The sequence below is a fragment of the Homo sapiens genome, chromosome 2 (assembly GCF_000001405.40).
Source record: "Homo sapiens chromosome 2, GRCh38.p14 Primary Assembly".
Taxonomy (NCBI): Eukaryota; Metazoa; Chordata; class Mammalia; order Primates; family Hominidae; genus Homo; species Homo sapiens.
This window is the reverse complement of record NC_000002.12, coordinates 159,197,882-159,224,625: the sequence shown is the minus strand read 5'-3', so window position 1 is coordinate 159,224,625 and position 26,744 is coordinate 159,197,882. Positions and strand designations below refer to the sequence as shown.

The window sequence follows — 26,744 nt, the reverse complement described above, 5'->3', positions numbered from 1 at the left end:
TCTGGCGTGGTTCCTGGCCACTGATACCACTCCAGACTGTCCTTCAACACCAGCCTCTGCTTTCCACACCCTCCCCGCAGAAACACCGTGAGCTACTTACACATTGTGTATAATGGTGATTAAGTGAGACTGAGACAGAGATCTGCAAACATCTGACATCTTACTTCCTAACCTGGGAGCAGGTCACTCTCTGTGCTGTCTAGGCTTCTACAATCGGGAGCTCACCGCTCCTCCTGCTCAATGGAGGCAGTGCTCACTGACCTAACTTGGCTCCCTTTCTGAGTAGCGCCACCACTACAGATGTGTTCCGGCAGCCGATGGCTCTGTCCAAGGGCCGCATCCCGCTGTGGTCCACATGCTCGATCACGGCTCCCTTCTCCACCAGGTACAGCACCTGCAGAGACAGCAGAAGCCTAAGCAGCAGCTGGGAACAGGAGTTCAGGGGCGCACACGGATTTAGGGGTGGGCAGTCTTAGCTTCACTCTGATTTTAGATGCCTCTGCCTATTAAGGATCCTAGACTAGAAATAAAGTGGACACGAAACAGAGAAGAGGAGCTGCAATCCACAGCTAAAACCTTCACTGCTGAAGAGATTTTGCTGTCAGGGATGAGGAAAGCAGGGGACACGCTACCACAGGTGGGTGTGTGCACACATGCGTGATCTGTCTCTGTCTCACACCACTTCCCAGGCCACAGAGACGGGACATAGTCACCTTTGCATCTCCAATGAAGTAGGCAGCAGACTTCTTCAATGAGCTCTAACAAATGAGCAGGCCACAGCAGTGGTGACTTTAGAAATACTCAGACCCACACAACCTGTGCACGGCAGACTGTTAAGATTGGCAGCTTGGGACCGGATGGACCCGAGTATAATCCACTTCAAAGAGATGTGAAGGAAATTGGGAGAGTAAAGATGGCAAGTTTGATACCACGGTACAAAGACTGATTTGATGTGATATAATAGCTGTCAGTTGAACCAAACTGGAAACAAGAGGAAGAAATACTGTGGCCACTAAAATTTCTCCATTTACTGGAGCCATTTTAGCCTGTAGCCATTTTTTAGCCTGTGGCTATTTTAGATTTTCATGTGAATCTAAAAATATATGCTTCCTATCATCCACCCCATTATTCAAAATGACACTAACTAGAGGGATTATCTACACAAAGAACTACAACCCAACTACAAAAACCAAATAACCTCATCTTTAGAATGGGCAAAGGACTGGAATAGATTTCTACAAAAATGATCAACAAGTGCTCAACAAGCATATGAGAAGATGTTCACCTTATACCCATTACGATGGCTACAATTAAAAAAAAAAAGCTACTATTAAAAAAAGCACCTCAGACATGCAGGGCCATGGCTTCCACTGCCAGGTCTGCAAGCACCTGTCTGTCCAGCTAGTCCTTCCACAAGTACTGGCTGGGCGTGATGGCTCACGCCTGTAATCCCAGCACTTTGGGAGGCCGAGGCAGGCAATCACCTGAGGTCAGGAGTTCAAGACCAGCCTGGCCAACATAGTGAAACCCCATCTCTACTAAAAATACAAAAATAAGCTGGGTGTGGTGGTGGGCACCTGTAATCCCAGCTACTCAGGAGGCTGAGGCAGGAGAATCGCTTGAACCAAGGAGGCGGAGGTTGCAGTGAGTTGAAATTCTACCACTGCACTTCAGCCTGGGTGACAGAGTGGGACTCCAACTCAAAAAAACAAAAACAAAAAACAAGTATTGGTGACGATGTGGAACAATTCTGGAGCCCTTATGCACTGTGCTATGAATGTAAAATGGTGCAGCAACTGTGGAAAAAAAGTAGGGCAGTTCCTCAAAAAATTAAAAATACAATCACTATATGAGCCAGAAATTCTGCTTCTGGATATATACCCCAAAGAACTGAAAACAGGGTCTTGAATAAATACTTGGACACCCACATTCATTGCAACATTATTCACAACAGCAAAAAACATAGAAGCAACCTAAGTGTCCACTGACAGATGACTGGATAAACGAGATGTGGTGTATACGTACAATGGAGCAATATTCATCCTTACAAAGGAAGGAAATGCTATTCTAACACACGCTACAACATGGGTGAACCTGGAGAACATTATGCTATGTGAAATAAGCCAGTCACAATGAGACAAATACTATATGATTCTACTTACATGAGATATCTAAAGGGGTAAAAAAACTCACAAAGTAGAGTGGTGGCTGTGATGGGCTGGGGGAGATGGAGAGTTGTTTAACAAATACAGTTTCACCTTTGCAAGATGAAAAGTTCTGGATACTGGTTGTACAACAATGTGAATATACTTAAACTACTGAACTCTATATGTTTAGAAATGATTAAGGGTAAATTTTATGCTATGTGTTTTTGCCACGGTATTAAAAAAATTATGTTGGAATGCTAAGCTCCTTCACTCTTCTCTAATTTTGATAAACTACACAATGTGGGAAGGTAGCTGAAAAATAAGTGTAGACATGTGAGATTTAGTTGAGTATGTTTTTGAAAACTGACATGAAGTAGAGTTTACAAGGTACTGAAGTTTATACCATTGAACTCTGACAGCGCTGCCTTCTAAAAGCACCAAGGCACAGAGGTACAGGGCCATGGCTTCCACTGCCAGGTTTGCAAGCATCTGTCTCTCCAGCTAGTCCTTCCATTAGATGTATTGAATTATTGGAAACTGGTAACTCTCATGTAGCTGACCATTTCTCTGGCACCTGCTGGGTGCCTGGGACATGGAGCCTGATAAAATCAGTTTCTGCCCTGAAAGACATTTCACGGTTCTCAGTTTATCAAGGTTTTATTCCCTCAAACCTCGATTAGACATGGGCATTTGGCAAAGAGATAAAGATAGTGCCCAAAGCTTTCCATATTATTTTTAGGCAATGCCATATCACTTTAAAAACAACCAGTATATGTACATGATGAAATACTATGCAGGCTTTAAAATAAGGAAATCCTGTCATTAGCCACAACATGGATGAAGCTGAAGGACATTATGGCTAAGTGAAATAAGCCAGGCACGGAAAGACAGCATGATCTCACTTATATGTGGAATCTAAACAAGTTGAACTCACAACAGAAGCAGAGAACAGAAAGAGGCTGGGAGACAGGGGGACCTGCGGAAAGGGTAGGCACCGGTCAAAGGGTACGAAGATTCAGTTAGACAGGAGGAGTAACTTCTGGTATCTACTGCACAGTACTGCAACTAGAATTAATAACTTTTATTTATTATTTTTTTGAGACTGAGTCTCACTCTGTTGCCCAGGCTGGAGTGCAATGGTATGATCTTGGCTCACTGCAGCCTCCACCTCCCGGGTTCAAGTGATTCTCGTGCCTCACCCTTCTGAGTAGCTGGGATTACAGGCACCCGCCACCACGCCCAGCTAATTTTTGTATTTTTAGTAGATACTAAAATAGTATCTACTAGTTCACTTGATCTCGAACTCCTGACCTCAAGTTCGCTTAATCTCGAACTCCTGACCTCAAGTGATCTGCCCATCTTGGCCTCCCAAAGTGCCGGGATTACAGGCATGAGCCACCGCACCCGGCCAGTAATGTATTCTTTATTTCAAAATAGCTAAAAGAGATCTCAAATGCTCTCACCAAAAAGAAATACTATTTGGGTGATGGATACATGAATTAGCCTGATTTGATCATTCCACAATGTGTACAAGTATCAAAACATCACTGTACCCCATAAATATACACAATCATTTGTCAATTAAAAATAAAACTTTGTCCGGGCATGGTGGCTCATGCCTGTAATCCTACCATTTTCAGAAGCCAAGGTGGGGTGATCACTTGAGCCCAGGAGTTCGAGACCAGCCTGGGCAACATGGTGAAAAACCGTGTCTCTAAAAATTAGCCAGGTACGGTGGTGCATGCCTGTATTCCCAGCTACTCAGGGGGCTGAGGTGGGAGGACCTCTTGAGACCAGGAGAACAAGGCTGCAGTCATCACACCACTGCACTCCAGCCTGGGCAACAGAGCAAGACTGTGTCTCAAAAATTAATAATAAGCCAGGTGCAGGGGCTTACGCCTGTAATCCCAGCACTTTGGGAGGCTGAGGCAGGCGGATCATGAGGTCAGGAGTTCAAGACCAGCCTGGCCAACATGGTGAAACCCTGTCTCTACTAAAAATACAAAAATTAGGCATGGTGGTGCATGCCTGTAATCCCAGCTACTCAGGAGGCTGAGGCAGGAGAACTGCTTGAACCCAGGAGGCGGAAGTTGCAGTGAGCCGAGATCGCACCACTGCACTCCAGCCTGGGCAACAGAGCAAGACTCCATCTTGGGAAAAAAAAATTAATAAATTAAAAACAAAACAACTTAAAAAAAAAAAGCAACCAGGTAGTCATTTGATTAGTCACTTACCATATATAAAAGTAGTTTCTAAATGATCTATGCAAAAGTTTTATTTATATGGATGACTGAGAAAATCACATATGCACATGTGTATGCATATTCACGTATGTGTCTGTTGTATGTGCTATTTGCAAGCAGGTATTTTTAAGCTTTTAAGAGTCGACTAAAATCTTAAGTCCTGGAATAGACTGCATGTCACAGAATTAGAGAAAAATGAAAGATCCCTGACAAGACACACACACACACACACACACACACACACACACACACACACACTCTCTGATGACACTGAGACACAACCTCATGCAGGCCCTGGATTGAGCTGTTCACTTCCTGGGGTTTCTTTCCAATGCAGGTGGAGGTGGGGAACACCTGCTGGTACTCACAGTCTCGGCATCGCCATAGAAGGCAGCCAGGTCCAAGGGTGTGCGGCCATTCTTGTCTGTCTGGTCTATTGCAGCTCCTTCTTCAACCAGATACTGGACCACTGCCCTGTGACCTTTCAGACAAGCCCAGCTTAATGCTGACAGACCCTCTTTGTCTAGAGAAGAAAGGGCTGCACCTGAAAGGAAAGCCCATTCACAGAACATGAACATTATGAGATGACAAAGCCAGAAAGCAAATTGTTTCACACCTGCGGAACACCCGGCCTGAACCAAGTGTCAGTCAAGCACTGTGAAGGGTGACACTGGCCGGATGGGCTGGCAGAATGGTCATCGCTGCTGAAGAGGAATACCAGGCATGTGGCTGTGTTGCCTATTCTCTCTACTGTTTATTAGAAAATTTCCATTAACAGAAAACTTAGAATTTGAATCAGAAAGCACTGAATGGGTCTGCTGAAGTTCTCTCTGTGTCCGTCCAAAAGAAACCTTTGAGGGCATCACGCTGCTACCTTTTGAAAGGAGGAATTCCACGGTGCTCAAGTGCCCTTCACAAGCAGCCACCATGAGGGGCGTCCGGCCTTGCTTGTCACTTAGGTTCACATCACAGCCGCGTTCCAACAGCAGTCTAACAATCTGGAAGAGACATTTGGAATTACCATCCTCCTGCTGCATTTTCCACCACACCTGCTATACCCAGGCAGGTTTCTCAACCTTTAAAAATAGTCAAATGACTTTCTTTCAAAAATCTGTAAGTTGTGTGAACCATGGGGCCTGGAAAATCTTTCCACTGTATTCCTTTGAACAGAACCTTTTCCAAAATATGCACTCTTTTTAACATGCCCAATTCATTGCTGTTATCAACTAAATATACACATACCAGAGAGAAATGGTAATTTGGGGGAGGAGGGATGCCAATCACTATCTACAAGGACAAGACAGCCACAGGGGCGTGGGAGAATGAAGCATAACTAAGAGGGGCGAGCAGCGGTCATGGGGTCCCCCACGGGCACTGAAACTAAGTACCTACAGCTGAGTGCAGGGCATGAGGGGGTCGCAGAAAGAAGCTCGCCCACCACACACCCAAGCCATGGGCTTTCCTAAGATGCAGCATTGGCGGATGGCATGCCCTTCGGGGAAGGCAACTTTTAGCAAAGCACCTTGAGGAGATTCTCAGCCCTAGAAATATGCCTTTCAACCATGCATAGTCATAAGTTTGGGGAGAAAAAACCCTAGAAAACCAGACAGGGGTATCCCATCACCACCATCCCAGCAGGAACTGCTTCACCCGTAGCTTAGCCCATTTTTCCCCAACACATCACCTGTTACATGGCCGCAGCAACAGGAGGCAACACAATCCCACTGCCTTCTTGCTCGTTTATCCACTAACAAATGCTTTCCAAAATTCCCCGTGACTTAGGACACAGCAGGGCCAGGAAAGGATTAGCCAGATGATCAAGGTGAAGCAGTGAGGGTGACAGGGAAGAGATGGTACAAACCAAGCTCTTAGGAATGGAAAGGGGAGAAGAATCCTGCCAGGAAGCACTCACAGCTCCTACCAAGGGAGCCAGCAGGCATCAGCAGAGACGCGATTCCATGACCAAAACTTTGGTCTAGAAAATTCTTCTTTGTAATGGTCATAACATCCTTTGCATCCATAGTGTATGTGTAACTTGGTGCTAGGTGTAGGGTAGGTATGTGGTCACTGTTTACGAAATGAAGGAGCAAGGATTCCCTGCTCCCTTGAATGAACCACAACAATACATCATTTCATAGTAAAAAAACAAAACAAAACAAAAACCAAAAACAAACAAAAAACCCAGCCTGAATCAGTGCTGGACCAGAGGGAAACATTTTCTTTTCCAAAGAGCACAAAAGAACTGCTCTTCTTCCAAGTATGTTGGACAAATGCGTCACCAAACTACAACAGCACATATGTTAAAGCAAGTCTCCTGTTAACACGATGAATCCACCCACTCCACTTCCCTCCACAGCTGAAGGCAGTGGCTGTGTCTCTGACCTGGATAGCTCAGCCTTGAGCAGCCTTGCTCCCCAGCCTACGTGGCCAACTGTGTTATCTTGTCAAACGTGGCTCTATCAAGCAGTCCTGATGGCACAGCAGAAGCCGAGGATGGGGAACAGACAGGCTCAGGGGAGCTGCATTGTGTTCTCAGGGGAGCCAGGCAATAGTGAACTCCATCCCCACTCATTGCTTCTGAAGCATTCAGGGGCCCCCTGGGTACCTGCCAATGCCCCTGGCGTGCTGCACAAAACAAAGGTGGAACCCCTCTCCTGTTTGTCCGCGACACAGCAGCTCCATGCCCCAGCAGCAGCTCACAGACCTCCAGCTTCCCTCTTCCTGCGGCGGCAGTCAGGGCTAAAGGAAAGTCACATGGAGGGGAATCTGTTAGCATGTGGTGGAGCACAGATAGCCAGAAATTCTTTAACAGTTCTCTCCCCCAGTGGGAGATGGGGTCTATATGTCCTCCCCCTTTGAACCTGCGGGGGCTCTGTGACAGCTTTGACCAACAGAACACAGCAGAACCAATTCTGTGTGCATGTCAAGGCCCAGGTCCTAAGAGATGGGCTGCTTGCACTTCCTTGAACACTCTTTCTTGGAGCTCGGATGCCATGCTGAGAGGAAGCCCAAGCAGTCCTGTGGTGAGACCCACAGAGAGAAGAACTGAGGCCTGGGCATGGCTGCCAGTTCCAGATGGGCTCCCAGCAGACAGCCAGCACCAGCCAGCCAGCCACATGCATGTCCCATCTGGAAGGGGATCCACCAGCCTGGGTCAAGCTGCCCCAGCTAAAGCCATGTGAGCAGAGGTGAGCCATCCCCACCATGCCCGGCCTAAACTATAGATTCAGAGGTGGCTAAGTTTTGTTTTTGTTTTTCTCAGGAAGAGATAACCAGAATACAGTGCAATGCAAACACAGGTTGGTATTATTGTCTAGTTTGGCCTCTTACCCTAAAATCATAAAATTTCATTCAACAAGAATAATCACTGAGGCAGTCTAGAGTGCACGTCACTCCCCCCTTGTTAAAGAATCTCTTTAACAAGTCAAGATTCAGGGTTAAGAAAGTCAAGAAAGAAAAGAAGATCCAACTGTAGAGGGCCCAAGTGAACACGCTGGCCCAGAGGCAGTGAGCTGCCCACTGTCGTGGTGGTGCTGCGGGAAGTCAGCTAAGGATGAAAGAAAAATGGCATGCAAGGAGAAAGGACAACGAGGCGGGGTACTCACGACACCCTCCCGTCAGCCTGGGCATCCCCACTCCCCGATTCTTAATTTGGGGGTAATAAGCAGGGGGTGTAGTTCGAAGAGTTGCTTCTGCTCATCGCAAGAATCATTGTCTAGAGAGGAGGACGGAGGAGGTGGCAGAAACAACCCCAGGCCAGGATGATCAGCTCTTTGGTGGGACCAGAGGCCAGGAAAAGGCTGAGTGGCGAGGGATGGCTGTTCCTCTGGAGGGAGGAAGGAGATGGAGCACAGCACCCTGGCTCTATTCCCAGCACGTGCCTGGGATGGCTCTGTTTCTAAATACAGCCTCGAACCTATATATTTCCAGTTTCCAGAATAGGGAAGTCTTCTTACAAGTCAGTCAGGCAGACAGACCTCTCAGGCTGAAAATGGGGCAACACAAGAACAGGCCTTCAAAAGGTGTGGTCCCCATGCCAGGGAGCCTATGAAGAGCACCAAGCCCCATTAGTAACCAGGCTCATTAACGAGAGATGGATGCGGAACAACAGGAAAGCTTGCACCCTGCTAGCAGAAAGGTGCATGGTGGCTGCTCTGGAAAACAGGCTGACGCTACGAGTAAGTTGAAGACAGGTGTATCTCCCCACCCAGCAACCCACTTGCAGAGATGCACCCTGCAGGCACTCTCAAGGTGTACCAGAAACACAAGCAAAAATGCTCACCGCACCCCGGGCTGCAAACAATCCAAACAACCATCATCATCATCATTAGCAAGCTTCAAGAAAGTGGCATAGTCAATCAGCAGAACACTACATGTCTACAAGAATAAACACCATGTGGCTAAACACGACTGACCAAGTCAGTCTCACAAACTTAACAAGGATTGAAAGAAACCAAACCCAAAAGAAAACACACAGAGGATTTTGTTCATACATAGTTCAAAAGCAGAGTGCCACGACAGCCATCTCGGGAGAGGGTCATCTGTGGGCTTCCGATTAGCAAGGGCGGGACCTGGTTTGTCTCCTGCGCACCTTCTGAGCTCGGGTCTCAGAGCTAAGCCCCGGGAGCCAAGGGCTCAGTGATGCTGGTGTCTGCACACACCCCTTGGTCTGCCTGTCTTCTTTGACACCCCTCAGAGCAGCTAACAGATGCCTGCTTCCTCTGGTGCCTACAATAATGCCCAGGGAAGCTGGGAGTCTGTTGCTGATTTGTGACCTCCTCTGGTCACACCAGTCAGCATGGCCATGGTTTAACCTCCAGGAGCCACATAAACAAAAGGCGGCAAACCTGTTATCTCCCTGCAAGAAACTAGCTCTCCTACTGAACAGTCTCTACCGACTGTCCTTAGGGCCATGGTGCAGTGTGGCTGGCAACCTCACCTCTTCACATGTCACAGAGAGGTAGCCACATCTCTCCCGTGGATCACCTGAGCTCTGCGTTCTATCTGGGGCCTCGTCACCGGAAAGTGAGGGAGTAAGCGTGGGCAGCAGGCAGTCCTGGTCTTGTGGACCTAAGAATGTAAGGGTTAGGTCCAGGATGACCATGGGGAAAGCATCCCCTTCTCCATCCTTCCAGAACGGTAAGGCAGCTCTCACTTCGCTTCTGGTCCTCAGTCAGTGTGGACCTCAGCAGTGAGGGGAACTTCTTCAGTGGCCTCATCACAGACCAGCCCCTCATAAGAGTTTACATGGCAGCCCAGGGAGCTCAGGGCCAGTCTGTAGGCCTGGCTGATTCCGAATGTTCCACGCCCTATTCCTCACCACCCAGATGATGGCCTGTTTCTTTTCAGAAAGGAGGCCACCACATTTCTCCAGAAAAATGCATTTAAAGGGCTCTGTCCTGTTGGATGTCCTCAAGCCTCTTAATCTATGTTTGCAGCAGACAGCACTAAAGCGGTGGTGGACCAGAGGAGGTAACAAGTCAGGAGCTGATTCCCAGCTCCCCAGGCCTTATCTGAGCACCAGAGGGAGCAGGCATCTGCCAGCTGTCAAGATGCTCTGACACCTGATGCTACAATATTTTTCCAAGAGGCGTAACAACTTCAGTTCTCTGTGGTAGAACAGTCCTTCACATGCACTGGGACATAGTCCCTTGCAGCTCTCCAAGGAGGTAGCTGGTAAGCCGAGCCAAGGTCCTCATGAGAAGTCAGTGCTGGTACCAACATGTGTGTTCAGTGAGTCACCCTAGTGGAGGGCACAGGGGGCCTGTGCACCATGGTTCTCAGCAGGTGAGAGACTGCTCAGCTCTGGAGTCCCAAGGTCCAGGATGTAACACAAGACAAGACACCTGAAGATATGATCTAGTCCCAGTTGCTATGTATGACCTTGGCAAATCCTCAAGGTCTGTGAGCTTCAGTTTTCCCCTGCAGAAAGCTAAAGAGTTGAGCCTGACCAGAGTTATGAAGAGGCCAAAGTTTCCGCAAATGCTTAGTCCAAATTTCATTTTTTAAATGCAGCTTATTTAAAAATTTGTAACAAACACAATACCCACCCCCCACCCAACCACCACAACATTTGCTGTTACTAAATTCCCCCTTTTTTTTTTTTTTTTTGAGACAGGATCTTGCTCTGTTGCCCAGGCTGGAGTGCAGTGGTGCAATCTTGGCTCACTGTAACCTCCACCTCCCAGGTTCAGGGATTCTCCTGCCTCAGCCTCCCAAGTAGCTGGGATTACAGGCACGAGCCCCCAAGCCCGGCTGATTTTTATATTTTTAGTAGAGATGGGGTTTCACCATGTTGGCCAGGCTGGTCTCGAACTCCTGACCTCAGGTGATCTGCCCACCTTAGCCTCCCAAAGTGCTGGGATTACAGGTGCGAGCCACTGTGCCCGGCCGCTGTTACTAAATTCTAATACCTTGGGGCCCAGCGCATTACCATGGGTGCCCAGAATAACTTATCACTGGGCAGTCTCATAATAGTGCTTTTCCTGTCATCTTTCTAGTCAGATAATTTCTTAGAACTACAGGAAGAGCCGTTCTTAACAAATATTGCCATCTGCATCACTGATCTGGATGACGAAGTGGATTCTTTCAAGACAGTGCAACCAGAACAAAATACTGAAGGGCAGGGATGCTACAGCTGATCTGGACTGCAGGTACCATTCATATTTGTGTTATGCAAACAGGCCCATTGCCCTTACTGAGCAGACATTTAAAGTTCATCTCAGCGTGTCGGTATGTAAAACTGACATAAATACCATTAGCAGAATGGTATTTATGTCAGTTTTACATACCGAGGCACTGAGACAGAGGTGGGGGGGTTCCCATACCTAAAATGTTTGGAAACCAGGGTCCAATGTGATCCTATCTATACTCTGAGAATCTACACAAACCAGTTCTGGTCCCTGCTGTCCCAGGAATTCTCGCTGTAGTCTCTTCCTGCCACGATGATAACGTTAATGATTCCTACTAACATAAGGCTTGGGGTACTTTTATATTGTGAGAGACCAGAATATGCCACCCCAAAATATGCCTTTTCGCATAAAGATTTTGAGTTGATTATTTTGAGAGACTGCAGACACAGGAGATATCCCAAAAACAGATAAGTTATCCTCTTGTAAGACAAAATTCATGGGTGTCTTCCTTTCTATTACCAAGAAGAGAAGGATGACTACATCACTAGAGATTTCTATCAGTGGAGAATCTGGCTCTCAAACCTTACCTTTGTTAACTGCTTTTCTTGGGTACCTCCCCATAACTGGCCTTCCCCAAACCATTTATCTTTGTTTCAGGGAAATTTTTTTTTTTTTTTTTTTTTTGAGACGGTGTCTCGCCCTGTCACCCAGGCTGGAGTGCAGTAGCACAATCTCGGCTCACTGCAACCTCCGCCTCTTGGGTTCACGCCATTTTCCTGCCTCAGCCTCCTGGGTAGCTAGGATTACAGCATGTGCCACCACGCCTGGCTAATTTTTGTATTTTTAGTAGAGACAGGGTTTCACCATGTTGGCCAGGATGGTCTCCAACTCTTGACCTCGTGGATCTGCCTGCCTTGGCCTTCCAAAGTGCTGGGATTACAGGCGTGAACCACCATGCCCAGCCGGGATGATGGTTTTTAAGCCTAAAATCTAAGCCACCTCTTGGACACTGACTCATTTCTCTGGGTATCTCCCATGGATACAACACAAGATATACCTACTATTCAACTTCTGTTTGTGTTAATCTGTCTTTCGTTGCTGCAGTCTGTCCCAAGAACTGTGAAGGGTAGGGATGAAGTGATTTCTTCCTCTCCTACAATATACATTTTCTGGATTGATTTGATCGTGACCCTGAACACGCATGATTCTTACGCTAGAAGATCTGGGTATTGAACCACTACCTGGATCTGCTGCTGCTCTGCCATTTTCCTCTAGGCAAGGAACAACTCCCTCTTCCTCCTCTCCCTGGTTGACCAGAAGAAGGAATGAATCAAAACAAAGACGCATGGGCTCCACGCAGAGGCAGGGCCTTTGCATGATGCCATGCAAAGGAATAAACACAGGACTCTTCCATTTGATGAGATCTGAAGCAGCCAATCCACCACAGCATTCTGCTCTTTTATTTGGTAAACAAGCTTCATCTACATTATAAACGGGGCCTTTAAATCAGGATTTCTGTTAAAGCTGCTACTGAATTTTTGCAACAGCAGCACATCAGAAATGACAGTCCAGCACTAAAAATAGGGACCTCTGTTTCACAGGGGCATCAGAGAAACCACAAGTTGGAGCAACTGACAAGGGGCGAGTGCGCCACCCCGGGCATGGCAACTGGGTTGGACCCTGTCCTCCTTTTCCTTCACAACCCTTGCTATGTATTTGGTGACTCCCTCTTGAGGCAACTAAAAACCTGTAAGCACAGGCAGACTATGCTCAGGCTTAAAACAGATCACGTTCTACACACAAATTCCTGACAAGGCTCTCGTTTACAAATGATGCAGACAGACAACAAGATCTGTGTTTTCCTTTTTCTAAGCAGATTGAGTATTCTGGGGCCATCACGGCGAACTCCTGAGGCTCTGCCATTTTCAGGGGATCTCAAGTTTTAGCAGCCACAGGGACTTACGAACACAAGAGAGACTGAAGAATAGCCACCCACATGCTTAAGCAAACAGAACCATGGCTAAATTATGCTCAGGAATTCCAGCTATTCTGCTGCAAAGGCCGACCTCTGGTGCTGCCCACCAGGCTCCAGTGAGGGTTAATGCACCCCACCTGACCCGAAGGAAAAGAGGGCAGGGGAGGGCAGGAGAAGAGAATGCCTTGCTATGGGCAGTACCTTGCCTTCTGGCCAATGAAATACAAAGATGGAGAAAAAAAGACTTGGTATGAAATGGGAGCTCAAAAATCAACGTGAACAGATGGCACTTTTTAGGACTCAAATTGGACACAATTTCTTCTAGTTGTAAAATCCTTAACAAGATGGCATTTGTGAATTAGATTCCCATGAAAGCACATACCTCAGCAACACTGTCCTGTCTTGAGAAGGCAAGTAGGTTTGTAATGGCAGACGTTCATTTTAAGAACAACCTGACTGGCCAGGTGCAGTGGCTCATGCCTGTAATCCCAGCACTTTGGGAGGCTGTGGCGGGCAAGTCACCTGAGGTCAGGAGTTCAAGACCAGCCTGGCCAACATGGTGAAACCCTGCCTCTACTAAAAATACAAAAATTAGCCGGGAGTGGTGGCACGCGCCTATAATCCCAGCTACTTGGGAGGCTGAGCAAGAGAATCGCTTGAACCTGGGAGGCGGAGGTTGCAGTGAGCTGAGATTGTGCCATTGTACTCCAGCCTGGGCGACAGAGCAAGACTCCATCTTAAAAAAAAAAAAATTAAAAGATCAGGCATGGTGGCTCATGCCTGTAATCCCAGCACTTTGGGAGGCCGAGGCGTGCAGATCAGATCACGAGGTCAAGAGATCGAGACCATTCTGGCCAACATGGTGAAACCCTGTCTCTATTAAAAGTACAAAAATTAGCTGGGCGTGATGACACATTCCTGTAATCCCAGCTACTCGGGAAAGCTGAGGCAGGAGAATCACTTGAACCCAGGAGGCAGAGCTTGCAGTGAGCCGAGATCTCGCCACTGCACTCCAGCCTGGTGAAAGAGCAAGACACCATCTCAAAAAAAAACAAAAAACAAACAAACAAACAAAACCTGACAACAATCTGAACGTATTGGAAACAGCAGTGAGAGAGCTTTTTGCACCATAAAATGGATGGTTTGCAGGAATCTCTTATATATTAAAGTTCTCTGGGAAAAGATTTGATTTGCAAAAACTCAATTGTCAACTTGCCGGGGACACAGTCATTCCACAAACAGGGCTATTCCTAAAATTTTAAAGCAGATCTGTCACTCAAATTCACAGGATGTGCTCCCCAGGCTCAGGATCGCTTGGCTTACAGATCACAACAATGGGTCTGTATTCCCACCCACATTTGCTTTTGGACCCAACTTGGGGGCTTGGAGAGAAGGGCGGCAGGGTCAGCGCACACAGAAGCTGCTTCCCGCTGGCAGACTATGACCTTTTCATGCATTACCCACGGATGTATGAAAACCATTCTGCAAACTGGAACTGAGTACCTCCAGAGAACAGCTTGTACCTGCAGAACCCACTTCCTGCTAGCTGAGAGGGCACTGCGGGCAGGGCAGGGCAGGGCGGCTGGGCTCTGCTTGTATGCTTATATTCACATGTGCAATTTACTTGCTTGTATTCACATGTGCAATTTACTTCCTATTATCCTGGCCTCTCCCATATTTTAAAAAATGAGTGGAAAATGAAAAAAATGAGTGTCAACATTAATTGAAAGCAGCAGGGTCCTCACAAATGTCATCTAATTGTGGCCAAGGTGAGAACTGTGAGATGTGGTGAAGGCAGTGATGCTTGACCCTCAGTGGCAGGCCCGATGGCCACACCCTGCTCAACTGTAAAGGCAGAGAACACCAGGAAAGAGTGTGCCTGACACACTGCACATTTCTCAGCTACTTTATCTCAATGGTAAAATGTAATGAGGGATTTTAGGATTTTTTCTTTTTTTTAAACTCTGGGAATGACTGCCCACCCTGCCTTGGTAACTGACTCTAAGTGGCTATATGGCGGCTGACCGGTCAGGCTCGCTTTGCTGCCACTGGGAGCTCGGCCGTCACACTGAGGGCCTCAGGGAAGCTGGCCCCCACATTCCCTGGCTGAAAGCAGCAACCTTTCCCCAAAAGGCCAGGCAATGTGCCTTGCCTCCCCGCCCCACCTTCTAGAAATAGGACTAAGATTTACAGAAGCCAAATTTCATAGCTTCACTGTGTTCTTTGTTAGGCATTTCCTCCCGTCTCTGAGCGAGGGGAAGGCTTCTATTAGAAAGAAGAACATACTTTCCAAGAGCTATAAATTTTTCACCTCTACAAAGACAAGGCAGTTATCTAACCTAATCCTCAACAATTTAAAGGATAAAATGAAAGGTAATCAAGATGGCTCTTCCAGAAAACTGTACTTGCACTGGGAGACAAACACCCCAAGCCTTGGTGTCTGGGACAAGCCTCCAACACTGCCAGCCTCAACTGAAGCTTCTGCAGGCTGGGGCGCTGCTGCTCAGTGACCTCACAAATGGAAGCCAGCACTGCCCAGGTACAGTCACATGCTGTGTGATGATGTTTCAGTCAGCGACAGACTGCGTATACAATAGCACAGTGGTCTCATAAGATGATAATACCATATTTTTATACCTTCTCTATGTTTAGACATGTTTAGACACACAAGTATTTACCTTTGTGTTATAGCTGCCTACAGTATTCAGTACAGCAATATGCTGTACAGGCTTGGAGCCTGGGAGCAATAGGCTGTGCCATCCAGGCTTGTGTAAGTACACTGGAGGATTTTCACGCAATGACCAAATCGCCTAAGGATGCATCTCTCAGAACTATCTCATGCACGAATTTAAAAAGTTGTGGTTTTGAACACCTTCCTTATTGTTTCCCATTGGCAAAACTCTCCCAGGAGGGCCAGATCTCCCAATGGCCATGATGGGGCCTGCAGAAGCAGCCTGGCTGGAGCCAAGTATGGGGATTCTGTGTTATAAGGCAACAGGCATCAACCAAGCATCATGGAAAAATGTGGCTCCCTCTGCCGACAGACATGAACCCATTTTCACCGAGCTATCTAACAGAGGTGAATACAGGGCAGAATCCAAATCTGGGTAACCAGAACACTCCTGACCATGTTACAAACTCTACTGTAAAAACACTGTCAGCCTGTATGTGCATTCAAGATTAAACAGGAACCTCAAATTGCCAACTTCTTTTAAAAAATAAAATGTGTAACTGCACCTGTAAACAGGACTTCATGTGTGTGATCAAAATTCCTTTCTTTTCCATCCTTCACTTATGACTCCATCTTCCAAAGTAATTGCAAAATTGAAGATTCCATCACTTATACATCCACTTATTCAACTGACAAATGTATAGCATACATTAACATATTATATTAATAATATTAATCAACTTATCACAACCCTGACAATACATAGCATTGTATCAACACGTATCAACTGCTGAGAGCTGCACAAAATACCCTGGGTGGATTCTCATTTAATCTTGTTAAGAACCTTTTGAACCAGGTGTCATGATGATGCCCATGTTACTGAGGTGAAATAACTGAGTCACAGGGGTTATATCATCTGCCCCAAATCACAAAGGGAATCAGTGTCAGTATCAGAAATTTAACCCAAGCAACTGAATGGACCTGAAGTCATGCTCTTGATTAAAACAGGAAGATGCTATTGGATTTAAATAACATACCATGCCATTTGTAAAGGGCTGCCTACACGATGCTCTTGGTCCTCCATATTCATAAATTCAGTGAACACAATCAACTTCTATGAGGCAAGCACTACTCTTAGTTCTCTGTTACAGATGAGGAAAATAAGCCTCCGAAATTAAACCACTTACTTAAGGTCCCACAGCTAGAGGGAGTGTGGCTAAGTCTGAGTTGTTTTTTTTTTTTTTTTTTTTTTTTTTTTTTGAGACACGTGTTGCTCAGTCGCCCAGGCTGGAGTACAGTGGCGCGATCTCGGCTCACTGCAACCTCTGCCTCCTGGGTTCAAGGAATTCCCTGACTCAGCCTCCTGAGTAGCTGAGATTACAGGTACCCGCCACCACGCCTGGCTAGTTTTTGTATTTTTAGTAGAGACGGGGTTTCACCATGTTGGCCAGACTGGTCTTGAACTCCTGACCTCGTGATCCACCCGCCTCAGTCTCCCAAAGTGCTGGGATTACAGGCGTGAGCCACTGGACCTGGCCAGTCTGAGTTCTTAGCTCCTACAATGCTGCCTCCAGGAAGTCACCTTTAAAAATATCTAAAGCATCCAACAGCCTTCTATGAGAGTTGTTTAGAATGAAAGTACCAGAAAGTGCTTCTCTTTTTCTGAGGAACTGCTGCGATTTCTCCCATGGACAATAAAAATGGTTTACAAGGATTGTGTTCCCCTCTAATTCTGGCCACATGGCATTCCACAGCCACAGTAGTAGCTCAATTTAGTATGCCATGGCACGAATGTTTGAGCGGTTCCTCATGTCCTATTCCTGACTTAGTGTTTTAAAGTTCTTATCTGCATCATTTCAAGTAAGTCTCTTCAAATCCTTTGAGGAATAATGTGTGTGCTATAAATAATGTAACCTCAATTTAAAAATAATTTCCTAAAAGATCAACAACATAAGCCATCTTTCATACAGACTTTGTTCTTCTAAGAATCCATGAGAAGACCGGACCTTTGGACAGCTGTCACTTCTAAAGTGTGCTGAGAATGTTCGCATGTGGAAGGCTGGGTTACACACCAAGTTATTTAAAGCAGGCATAAGGTTCTCTCTCTCCTCTCGGTAAGGGCTAAGCTTGTGCTGAGGACTTCATTACATGCCAGGACACCACATGAGGTCTCAGTGTAAAAAGGGGGCATTTCCACAAAAGCATTTTACACAACCTCACATCTGGCCCCCAAAACACAGAAAGAATCCAAATATCATTTCAAGAAGAAACAAGGATGATTTTTCTGTGGGAGTGTAATCCTTCCCAAAATATGAATGAATACATTTTTCTGTTGAAGGCAGAAGTATTTTTTATTAAATACTCAGGAATCACTCACTAGAAAAATGGACTCTGTACAGCAAGAACAGCTTGATGAAGGTGGTCAAGGGGCTAATTTGTTCGTGCTTGAGACACCACCCCTGGGTTTCTACCTGCTCACTGCTGGCCACTCAGCCTGCCCTACAGGGCGGGGACATGCTGACCTGACCCCTCTGCCTTCTTCGCAGAGAGGAGTGGTCTCCGGAACCCACCCACATCAGGGGCAAAACCCAGGGGTCTGTGAGACCAGGAGGATAGGGTATGGACAAACCCAGCCCCCTCAGTTCTGATCCCCTATCTGCCTCCACTGTTTGGAGGACCCCCATACACATCCTCCTCCATCCAGAGCCCTGTTACCCCTTCCATGTTGGTAACCCCACTTTGTCCCTCCCCTTACAGGGCACAGGGTCACCCCACCCCATCTTGCTCCTTTCAGGATCCTGGGTGGTCCCTCCCACGCACCCTTGAGGGTACTGGCTTACTCCCCATCGTGTTGCTTTGCCGAGGATAGTTCTGACTGACAGCAGTCTGGACTTCCATGCCCACTAATCTTACTGAACCTTCTTAGAACAAACACTTGCAGAGGAAGGAATGCCTTGATAAAAAATTTCCAAAACCAGTACTGGTGAGATGCTCAGGACCTCTGAAAAATCCAGTATCTTCAGTGTACGACAGCAAGTCGCAGTTTTCTCTACAGCATCCTCCATGTGCGTTCCATGTAACACATATTCTCCACATGCCCCAACAAGCCATGGGCAAACGCTTTCCTTCCAATCTCTCACCTGAAATTCTGTCCTGAGATGTGCATGCATCACCTAATGAGGTGGATACTTCCTGAGAAAGGCCACACATCATCAATGACAGGGATGCATCCTGAGAAATGAGTCGTTAGGTGATTGTATCATTGTGCTAATACCACATAGTGGACTTACACAAACTTCGATGGTGTAGCCTACTACATGCCTAGACTATATGGTACAGCCTTTTGCTCCTAAACTGCTAAGCTGTACAGCCTGTTACTGTAGTGGATACTGTAGGCAGCTGTAACACGGTGGTACTTGTGTAACAAAACATAGAAAAAGTAGCAACATAGAAAAAATAAAGACACAGTATTGTATGGGAACACCTTCTCACATGCAGTCCATCGCTGACAGAAACATCATTATGTGGGGGATGGCTGTATATGTGACTGCAAGGCTCAATCCAGTAGGCCTGACATTTATTTTACATTCTTACCAAAGAACAGCCCCTTCTCTCTCCAAAATGCCTAAGGTAAATTCAAATGAAGAACGGGTCATTTTTACACCAACAGTAATTAGGCATCCAGCTCCCTGTGCTCTGGGGCAGCCTTGGATGTGGGAAGCCCACCGTCCACGCCTGGGGCCTCCCTGTGACTGAAGCCAAAAGAGCCACAAAAGGGGAAAGGAAAGCAGTCCCATGGAAACAAGAGGGAAACGAAAATCATCAAAGTGTCAAATACAACAGGACCCAGCTTCGCAGCCCAATTTGGAAACAGGTGTGAGGACCCCACCCCCAAGAGGGGCCTGGAAACACCCACCCCAGCTGCAGGGCACTGCCTGAGGCTCAAGATCCAGAGGGAGCAGGTTCTGTCCAAAATTCCATCCAGAATTAGTGAACAGTAAACTACGGTGAGCACACATGCCAAGTGGAATTGCTTCAATGCGCTACACAAAGGGAGGCCTACGACGCAGCTAAATAGCCCATTCAATTCACAGCGGAGAAAATCTGGCCCATCTGAACAGAGGCAAATAGTAGCTTTGACAATAAAAATTATTTACCTGACTAAACTCCTTTAGAAAGTATTCAACAATTAAAATATTACTGACTTAACATAAAAACACTTCACATGAAGTATTTCAGTCACACTTTTAACCAACTCCGATAGGGCATCCCCTTCCAGAAATTAGGGAAGCGTAGCCCTGGGGAGCCGCCAGCGTCCTGTGCATGAAGCATGGGGCTCTGGGTGTGCTGGCGACCTTCTTTCAAACAGAAGGACCTCTGAGGAGGTGACCACGACAGGGCAGGACGACTGCCAGAGACCAGCATGAGGACACAGCACACCCAGGCTGCAGAGAGGGAGATGTTATGGACACAGATGGGGCTATGCCCACACCATGCTTGGCTATTAGCTGTGTTCCCAAAGATCCAAACCAGCAGCCCACCATGCCTTCAGCACAGGTGCCCCACCGAGGACTTGGCGAGAGGATCTGAGCCATCTTGGAGTCCAACAGAGCATGGTCTGAGCTAGGACACCAAGAAATCAGGACACTGGGTCTTTATGAGTGACCAGGCCCCTTACTGCTCCCCCTCCAACCACAGGTATTTCTCCCAAATTATTCTGCAAGTGAACATCTCCCTCACTAAAAATATGACTTTGTTTCATTTAAATCCACTTGTCCACTTGGTCAATACCTATATGACAAGGACCAGGCTATACCTGCACTGTCCAATTTGGTGGCCACCTGTCACATGTAATTTAGATAAATTAAGATGAGATTTTAAACTATTGTTCCTCAGTTGCACAAGTCACATTTCAAGTACTCAATAGCCACATGTGGCTAGTAGCTACCATGCTGGACAAAACAGACACCACTTCCATTATTACGGAAAGTTCTATTGGGCAGCACTAGAACGGACGGTTGCCATACACAATGGTGTGGACAAGAGACAGGGAAATTTCTGCCTTCACAAAGCCCATGACTGGCTGGGTGTGGTGGCTCATGCCTGTAATCCCAGCACTTTGGGAGGCTGAGTCAGGAGGACTGCTTGAGCCCAGGGGTTTGAGACCAGCCTAGGCAACATGGCGAATCCCCATGTTTTGCATCTCTACAAAAAAATACAAAAATTAGCCAGGTGTGGTGGCTCATGCCTGTAGTCCTAGCTACTCAGGAGCCCAAGGTGGGAGGAGCACCTGAGTGTGGGGAGGCAGATGCTGCAGTGAACTGTGATTGTGCCACTGCACTCCAACATGGGTGACAGAGTGAGACCCTGTCTCAAAAAACAAACCCAAAAAAGCTCACAATTTGGGAAAAGCAGCCTCCTATCAAATAAGCCACATCAAATAAGCCTATCAAGGCTGGGCGTGGTGGCTCACACCTGTAATCCCACCACTCTGGGAGGCCGAGGTGGGTGGATCATGAGGTCAGGAGATGGAGACCATCCTGGCCAATACAGTGAAACCCCATCTCTACTAAAAATACAAAAATTAGCTTGGCGTGGTGGTGCATGCCTGTAATCCCAGCTACTCGGGAGGCTGAGGCAGGAGAAGCCCTTGAACCAGGGAGTTGGAGGTTGCAGTGAGCCAAGATTGCACCACAGCACTCTAGCCTGGTGACACAGTGAGACTCCATCTCAAAAAAAAAAAAAAAAGAAAAGAAAAGCCTATCGAATAAGATGTACTGATGGTAAGTCCTACGAAGGGAACTGGAGAGTGAGCCAAGGGAGTGGAGAGGGTTAAGGCTCTGATACCAGACAGGACCATCTGCCTGAATGGCAAGTGCTGGAGCAGAAGGGCCTCTGTTCTCTTCTATTCAGAGCAAGGTTCTAACCAGAAGCCCACAAGCAGGCTCACACACTTGAGTGTGGCTTGGAACTTGCAAACACAGTCCTTCTGCCAATCCACAGCAGCATGAGGTCACCAGCTAAGCATCTCTGGTCATTTCGGCTTGGGCTGATTCACAGCAAACACTGACATGGAGATAGTAACTCAGTGTAGCCAGAACTTTCTGGGAGGCAGCATGGAGTTGTCACAGCTGTGGAATGCCTGAAACAGATGCCATAAGCATCTGGTGGGTTCTCACCATGTTTCAGGCTGCCGAGAAACTACGGAACAGACACTGACTGAGTCTGTGAATATCACCGAGCCAAGAGCCTTGGCATCCTGAGGGTGGTACTGTTAGATGCAGGCATTCATCATCTGCTCTGAGCTTTCTTCTGATGAATGGATCATACTACTTATTCTCCACTAGGGCCTTTTGTTTGAGGGTGGGGAGGATGCATGGGGAGAGGGAGAGCTTGAGAGCTACTGGAACGACAGAACTGAGTTCTGAATGGCTGGTCCCTAAACATTGGACAGACAAAAACCAAATGGTCCTGGATGCTGGTGAAAACAGAAACTTAAACAAGTTAAGCCCTCTGCTCTCCAAAACCAGTAGAGACAGTCTGCAAGTTTTCTAAAGGCTGTGGGTTGATTGCAATAAACCCCTAAACCCTAAACTAAATACTGTTCCCATTTTTTATGAACGTCTTAAAATTCTATTGTACATTTTCTTGTCTCCTTCAACCTAACACAGGAGCCACCTACTTCTGTGATGACATTCATTGACTCAGGGTCACCAGCAGTCAGATGTGCAGGGCTCTAAGGGTGGAGGGCTGCTGCTGTGCCCAGTGCCACCACACTGACGGCCTGAGTGAGGGGGACCTCCACGGGGCTGCTGTTCCCTGGCTGGTGGCCGTCATTCTTAACCAAGAACCCAATGCTTCCAATCAGCAACAGGCACGACAACCACACTTCTGCCATGTGGAATAGATTCACTGAATTGCAAGGCTCTCCTAGCAGAAAACTGGAGGAAGAATTTGTGCGTGAATTTAAGCTCCTGCGCCACTGGCTCTGGCAATGGCAGAGAAGAGATGGGCAGGTAGCTGTCCTCCTAACGGGGGTATCCCTGCAGGAAAACCACAGGCTGTTCAAAGGCAGGCAGGTGAGTCAAAACAGACGAGGAAGCTCTGCCTTGTCACCTCATCAGCTAGCATTTTAAAGCCAAGCTGTTCACAGCTAAATCTATGCTGGACAGACTTGTGTAAACATACTTAAGGTTTCAAAATAAATAATGAACTGTTATCCACACAAAGCTTCCAGTTTTTCTGCCACCTTCCCATATCCCAGATAAGTATTACTCTTGGGATCCTATCCTTGTGCTGTGGCTAGGGACAGATACAGTCCATCCTAGAGTGTTTTGGACACAAAACACCATTGACTACACCCAGGAATGAGGACCAAACGAGAACAGGATGCAAAACCACTACTTTCCCTTCTGTGGGTCCCTATAGCAACGAGCAACAATGCACACAGCAGTACAGCCACACAGGCTGGGGAATCCCGGGGCCCATGGCTTGAAGTTGAGCCTTGGTGAGAACCAGGACTGTGAGCTGACCCATTCACTCTCAAGGCCTTCAGTTCTCTGTACGATGCCTCATCTGCCTTCATTCCCACATTTAGGGTCGGTAACAGACCCCACGTGGCCAAATCCCAAAACACGGGATGTCACATTCCAGAGCATGCAGTATACATTTGTGTAAGGACCTATATTTGCAGATGTTCTCTCAGCTGAAACCCCCTGCAAGATTTCAGGGTATTCCTCTGACAAATGCAGGCCTGGAAAGTAGGAAGGCTTGGGGCAGTAGACGATAGTGGTTGTCTTTGAAGGGGCACAAGAGAAAGGTACCAGACAGAAAAATGCAGAGAAGGCAAGGTGGATTTTGTTGACATGCAGTCCACAGAAAGCCACTGTGGCTAAGCCTGAAAAACAGCACTTAGCTTGCCTCTTCTTGCTTTAAATTTTAACAAACGTCTCAAGTAAACTCTTGCCTGATGAAATTCACCCTGATGCCTGGTGAGGAAGAGTGTGAACTGCTTCCCAGGTTGCAAAGTGGTCTGAAGGTTACTCATGAGGCTTTGGAAGGGAGGGGCCAAGTTACTGTTTACCTTTTCATTAAGACCCAAGGGACAACTACAAGGAGATGAATTCTGCCAACAGCTGAGAGCTTGGAAGTGGGTCTTTCCCCAGTGGAGTCTCTGACGAGAACACAGCCCCAGCCAATACCCAATTAGGAGCCTGGTAAGATCCTGAAGTAGAGAATCCAGCCAAACTGTGCCAAGAATTCTGATCTAGATAAAGACTGGTGGGAAGTCTGTTGTTTCTCATGTGTGTCTTTAGCCATCAACTGATTGGCAGATTCTCAAGCAGGATGATAATGCAATTCAGGACTGGTCATTGAGAGAAGAGAGCTCAAACAAAGCCTTCAAAGTCAGCCCTTCTCTGGAATTTTCTTCCAAATAAAAAAGTCATCTTGAATATTAAAATGTTAGAAATTCTCACTTGAGCTAAATGTGTGATGTCATGGCTGCTAGACCTGATGTCCATCGTCTTCATGGGTACCTCTCACTGTGTGTCACCCTATGTCAGGCTTTCTAGACAGCTCTGCAGGGAGCTAGGAGTAACCTGAAATGACTTGGGATGCTTGTTAAGAAAATCAAATCCTGGGCTTTCCCCCTAGTGAATCAGAATGTCTAAGCCCAAGTGCCCCAGGAGGCTCTTATCACTAGGCAATGAAAGAACAGGGGTTTGGACCTTTTGGCTGTCAGCAGTCATGCTCTTATCCACTCAGCAACACTGCTGCCCACCACATCATTTGGAATGTGATGGAAACTTTTCTTTCACCAAATTATAGAGCAGCCTATACTGTTTAAAAGGGAAGGGGAAGGACTCCATAAAGAATTAGGCAATATTTCAATCCACATACTTTTACCCGTAGACATAATCCAACTCCGCTGGAATTCTGTACTTTCTCTGCGCCTGGGAGCACACCCAGCTCCTTCTTTGGACCCACAAAGGGGATGGAACAAACAGCTGTGAGGCTCTGAAGGACAGGCCTGCACTCCTGCCAGAAGGTGAAGCTCTGTGGCTTTCCCCTAGGGTGAGCTATCTAATAAGCTCTTCACACCACCATTTGGCTTATTAGGAAATAATTTAGAAGCATTTGGAAACAAATCTGTGCAAGAAAAATGGAAATCATATATACCAGGTACACACACAGAAACATAACCTGGAAATTCATTTTAAATACTCATGCTGACATCTATTTAAAAACAACTTGTAATTTAAAGTCTTAGATTTCTAACACTAATCCAGTCAAGTGGAAAACTGGAAAGCAGCATTACTTTTAGTCTCACAAGTAACCAGCTCAAATCTTCACCAGGATGTGCTCAGCCCAGGCTTCTCACTGTAAAGACCAATGGAAATGACCCGATAGCTTGCATTCGTACGGTAATGTGAGTAAACCCCACGAGGCTGAGTTTTACCCTCATTCTGTACAGGGCAGGGCAGGCCACTGCCTTCTGTGCTGAGCCGCCTTTGATTCGTGTGACGATGGGGACAGAAGTTCATGCCTGGCTCGCCATGCACAGGTCACAGGAAGATCACATTGGTTAGATGTGTGAGATTTGGCAAATCAGAAAACAACACCTTAGTTAGGTACTTCCATCTGACATTCATCAGATGTACCGTAACTGCTAGTCTAATTCAAAATAATCAGTTAATAGGATTGCTTTAAAAAATAAAATCTTACGCTTCCAGCAAAGTTTTGCTACTCATGTAGAAAGTTCAAGGAGCTCTAAACTTCAAATGCTTGTGATAAAATAGAAACAGGACTACATATATCAGTCATTCTTAAGACAATTAGGCCAAAATAGGGCTAAAACATCAAGCAAGCTGCCCCAGACTACAAGCAGTGGCATTATAATTACCTGTTTCTCCCCACAATGTGTCGGTGCCATTGACTTCTACTTCATGTTCCTTCTCCATCCCCAGCAAGCACTGGACCACCTGTCAGAAGTGGCAAGGTGATTTAATGAGTTCTCTTAGCAAGAGGTGCTTATTATAGCCCATGTATCAAAGGAGACAGTGTGTTGTTTTTTAACCATTATCTCACACTGCCCAAGGAGAGAAAAATATAATGAAAACTGTTTTCAAGCATAATTCATATGCTATTCACACTTTCAGTTGGAGAAGAATTAAAAAAAAATCTCAGTGAATTTCAGCAATATGGTTCAGGATTACTAGGTACTCAGAATTCTAATGAATTCCAACATGACCCAAATATGCCAGCCTAATCAACAAAGGACATGGCAGATCACACAAAGTGCAGTTTCTGCATAAATCACAAGATAGTGAATCAGTTTTTCACAAGGAAGGAAAACAAAGCGATATACGTTTTTGCAAATTTTTACAAAGTATTGTTCAAATACATTTTCTGCTGGTAGCATTATTCTTTTTCCCTTATGGGACTCTTCCTGTCAAAGGGCGGGTCAAGTCACAGGTATGGAGGCAGGAAGCCTGGCTTGCAGGGAGACAAGGCATCTGTGCCCTGGACCTGAGCCGGCGTTCACCCTGAGCAACAGCAGCGAGCAACGGGAGAACACGACAAAGCCACCTTCCAGTCTCCTAGCCCACACCCTTTGTGGTAGGCTGAATAATGGCCCCCAAAGATGTCTACATCCCAATCTTCAAAGCCTGTGAATGTGACCTTACAGGGCAAGAAGGAATTGCAGATGTGATTATGAATGTTGAAATGGGGCGATTATCTCAAATTATCAAGGTCTATATCTGATACACACCTGATCTAATCAATCACAACCATCCTCTTAAGAGGGACAGGAGGAGTCCAGGTCAGAGGACAGAGGAAATGAGACGACAGAGGCTAAGGTGAAAGTAAGGCACTTTGGAGATGGAGGAAGGGGCCATGAGCTAAAAAATACAGGTGGCTTCAAGAATTGAGAAAAAGCAAGGAGACAGGTTCTCCCCTAGAGACTTCAGAAGGAAGGCTGACCTCCCAATAGTGTGATTTTAGACTTCTGACCATCAGAATTCTAAGAGTAAGTGTGTGCTGCTTTAAGCCACTAAGGTTGCATCTATTTGT

The 26,744-nt window shown here is 46.6% G+C and overlaps 1 protein-coding gene across 40 annotated transcripts in view, besides 3 other annotated features; it reads right to left on the bottom strand.

Annotated features, from left to right (window-relative positions):
• Nucleotides 1-26,744, bottom strand: part of TANC1 (tetratricopeptide repeat, ankyrin repeat and coiled-coil containing 1) — a 264,020-nt gene that overhangs the window by 8,034 nt on the left and 229,242 nt on the right. For 39 of the 40 annotated variants that reach the window (NM_001350065.2, XM_047446107.1, XM_047446108.1 and 36 more), the window contains 5 exons: nt 25,573-25,651; nt 6,996-7,129; nt 5,265-5,388; nt 4,759-4,934; nt 262-394 (listed from right to left, as the gene is read on the bottom strand). In NM_001350065.2, the coding sequence (NP_001336994.1) occupies nt 262-394; nt 4,759-4,934; nt 5,265-5,388; nt 6,996-7,129; nt 25,573-25,651 (646 nt within the window). Of the gene's footprint in view, nt 1-261; nt 395-4,758; nt 5,389-6,995; nt 7,130-25,572; nt 25,652-26,744 lie in introns of those variants that run through there. The other variant, XM_047446136.1, reaches the window with a different exon arrangement.
• Nucleotides 12,665-13,279: an enhancer, noted in NCBI's record as "OCT4-NANOG-H3K27ac hESC enhancer chr2:160067858-160068472 (GRCh37/hg19 assembly coordinates)". NCBI's record gives its function as "activates a minimal SCP1, AML or CMV promoter by ChIP-STARR-seq in naive H9 embryonic stem cells {active_cell/tissue: H9 hESC(naive)}" and the evidence as "EXISTENCE:reporter gene assay evidence [ECO:0000049][PMID:30033119]".
• Nucleotides 14,584-14,803: an enhancer, noted in NCBI's record as "active region_16684". NCBI's record gives its function as "activates an Ori minimal core promoter by ATAC-STARR-seq in GM12878 lymphoblastoid cells {active_cell/tissue: GM12878}" and the evidence as "EXISTENCE:reporter gene assay evidence [ECO:0000049][PMID:35858748]".
• Nucleotides 22,969-23,018: an enhancer, noted in NCBI's record as "active region_16683". NCBI's record gives its function as "activates an Ori minimal core promoter by ATAC-STARR-seq in GM12878 lymphoblastoid cells {active_cell/tissue: GM12878}" and the evidence as "EXISTENCE:reporter gene assay evidence [ECO:0000049][PMID:35858748]".